This window comes from Homo sapiens, chromosome 17, assembly GCF_000001405.40.
Source record: "Homo sapiens chromosome 17, GRCh38.p14 Primary Assembly".
NCBI lineage: Eukaryota > Metazoa > Chordata > Mammalia > Primates > Hominidae > Homo > Homo sapiens.
Window position 1 is genome coordinate 68,732,007 of NC_000017.11, and position 2,722 is coordinate 68,734,728.

The 2,722-nt window shown below is 44.6% G+C and overlaps 2 annotated features.

Moving 5' to 3' along the window:
- Window positions 264–845: an enhancer, noted in NCBI's record as "OCT4-NANOG-H3K27ac-H3K4me1 hESC enhancer chr17:66728411-66728992 (GRCh37/hg19 assembly coordinates)". NCBI's record gives its function as "activates a minimal SCP1, AML or CMV promoter by ChIP-STARR-seq in primed H9 embryonic stem cells {active_cell/tissue: H9 hESC(primed)}" and the evidence as "EXISTENCE:reporter gene assay evidence [ECO:0000049][PMID:30033119]".
- Window positions 1,862–2,156: an enhancer, noted in NCBI's record as "tiled region #8583; K562 Activating DNase unmatched - State 9:DNaseU". NCBI's record gives its function as "activates a minimal TATA promoter and a strong SV40 promoter by Sharpr-MPRA in K562 cells {active_cell/tissue: K562}" and the evidence as "EXISTENCE:reporter gene assay evidence [ECO:0000049][PMID:27701403]".

Sequence of the window (2,722 nt, forward strand, 5' to 3'; positions counted from 1 at the left end):
GTATAATCATCATTAATTTTCTTGAGAGGAGATAAAAATGTGGAGGGGAGACTGCATGTAATGTCAGACAGGTGGCCTTGAGGATGAGTAAACATTTGGTAAGTGCCTAGGCCAGTAGAACAAGAAGGCAAGGGCACAGTGAAGGACAGAGGGTTATCAGGAGCAAAGCAGATGGCAGTTTAAAAGCACATGCAGAATATTCTGGGGGCAAGCATTCTGGGAGACAATTCTCACTCAGCAATCATGAAACTGCCTTTGCAAAAATTATAACAGTGAAATGGGAGGGGGGGAGATCTGATCTAGCTAACCTCCTTCTTGCCTTTAGCCTTCAAGCTGCCTTAATTATTCCTGGGCTTAGGCTGGGTAACTTTGGGACACATTTAGTTTAAATGATAATAGCCCTTTCCCAAAACTCAACTTCCTTTGTAAAGCTAATGAGAGACCACTAGGCTAGGAGGAGGAGAGGAGCCTAAATTCTGCTAAGGTGTAAACATAAACAATGGCCAGCCATTATTCTAGAAGTCACAAGATATGCAACTTCCCCAATTATTCCTGCAGATAACATCACTATCAGTAGAACCTAAGATTGGCCTTTGAGATATCTTCAGGTTTTTTTGCATGTCTGACACCCATGGCTCCACCTAGATCTGCCAGCTGCTCCTGTGGCCCCACCCAGAAGTGACTCAGTGCAAGAAGAAAGCTTCAACTCCCTATGATTTAATCTCCAACTCAACCATCAGCACCCATTGCCTAGCCCCTACTCCTTCCCTCAAATGATCTTTGAAAAACCCCTAACATATAAACCTTCAATGAGATTGATTTCAGTAATAACTCCGTCTCTTGTGTGATATGGCTGGCTTCATGTCAATTAAATGCTTTCCTCACTGCAATGCCATGGTATGTGTTTGTGCAGTAGTAAGGAAGAACCCATTGGGCAGTTACAGTGACAGAGACTGTCAGTGACCAAAGGGCCCAAGACAGAGAAAAAAGTAAAGGAGCTGGGAGAAAGAGGAGTTAATAGTTCAGGAATTAGGGAAATGAGAAAGAAGGAATTATATTTACTGGATCTCCAGTGTTTGTTGGCAGTGGTAATGTCAAGTTGGCTGGGCCATGGCACTGAGATATTTGGCCAACATTATTTTGGATGTTTCTGTGAGGGGGTTTTTGAATGAGATTTACACTTAAGTGAGTAGAGTTTGAGTAAAGCATATTGCCCTCCAAAATATGAGTTCTCCTTATCCAGTCAGTTCAAGGACTGAGTAGAACAAGGACTAACCTCCCATGAGCAAGAGGAAGTTCTGCCAGCAGACTGCTTTCCAACTTCATCTGCAACATTGGCTTTTCCTGGCTCACCAGCAGACTGTCTTCAGACTTGAAGTTCAACTTTTTCCTGAGTCAGTCCTCAGTCTGTTGGCCTCCCCAGTCAGATTTTAGATTCACCAGGTTTATACAGTTGTGTGAGCCAATGACTTAAGATAAATCTTTTTCTCTCTCTCCATATCCACTTGATTCTGTTTCTCTGGAGAGTTCAGACCCATACAGTGATGTCACAGGCACTCTGTGCATATCTCACTGCATTCTTAAGGGCATTGATTGTTGAAGGTCAAATAGTTACAAATAGTGGTAGAGACAATATTCAAATCCACATCAAGTCCCATGTTATCCTCATCAAATCACCCTCCTTGGGGCCCAGAAAAGGACTTTTGAAAAACTAGTGAGAGAGACAGTAGAAAGAAACTAGCAAGGCAGATAGGGCAGAGTCCTCGGCAGAACTTTCCTTCTAACGAAAAGCAGCCCAAGAAATCACTTCTCTTCTAACAAAGAGCAGCCTGGAAGATTGGGCTGCAAACATAGATAAGGAAGTGCACTCTGGCACAGAGAGGGAGCTTCCTGGGTAATCAGCTAGCTTCACATACATACGGTGGGTCCCAGCAAGCACAGTGGGGCTTAGTAAGCACATTCCTTTCCTTTTTTAGGCATACTCAGATAAGGAAGTTGGAAACTTGCATGGGGAATGCCTGCAGCTGCACTGATAGAAAGGATTACCTTGGGCCAGGCATGCTCATTGTGGGAGCACCATCCCCTCTCCTTTAGCACATGCACTGTAGGAAAGAGATAAACAAGACAGAGTAGTTCAGGCTAAGGACCCGCCTGCATAATAAAAGATTGGGATGGGGACTGCCAGAGATTCATGCTCTATGCAGATGACACACCTCGTTTTAACTGTTTTTTGTACCCTATGTAGATAAGGTACCCCCTCCCCACTAGCTCATTTATAAAAACCCTTGCATTTCACTGCAGAATGGCAACCCTTTTTGGGACCCCGCTCTGCAGCAGAGAGCTGTTCTCTTTTTTTTGCCCAGTAAACTTCTGCTCTAACCTCACCCTTGGTGTGTCTGCGTCCTTGATTTCCTTGGCTGTCAGACAAAGAACTTCGGGTGCCACCCCAGGCAATGAGGCCTTTTCACTAGAACTTGGATCATGGATACTCTTGTTTGTGTGAGGAACTAATGGAGAATCAAGTAACTGGGCTTGCTGCTTCACTGTGCTGTGCTGTACAAAACACAGCTGGTCTTTAAGGCTGAGAAAACACAATGTCAGGTCCTTGCCAGCTCAGGTTGGCTGGGATCAGGATGACTTGATCCTTCTGAGCCCTTCAGTTTCAGTGGAAGGAGAGGTGATTTTTTTTTCCATCCCAGGTGCCTGGGAGTTCACCTGGAGA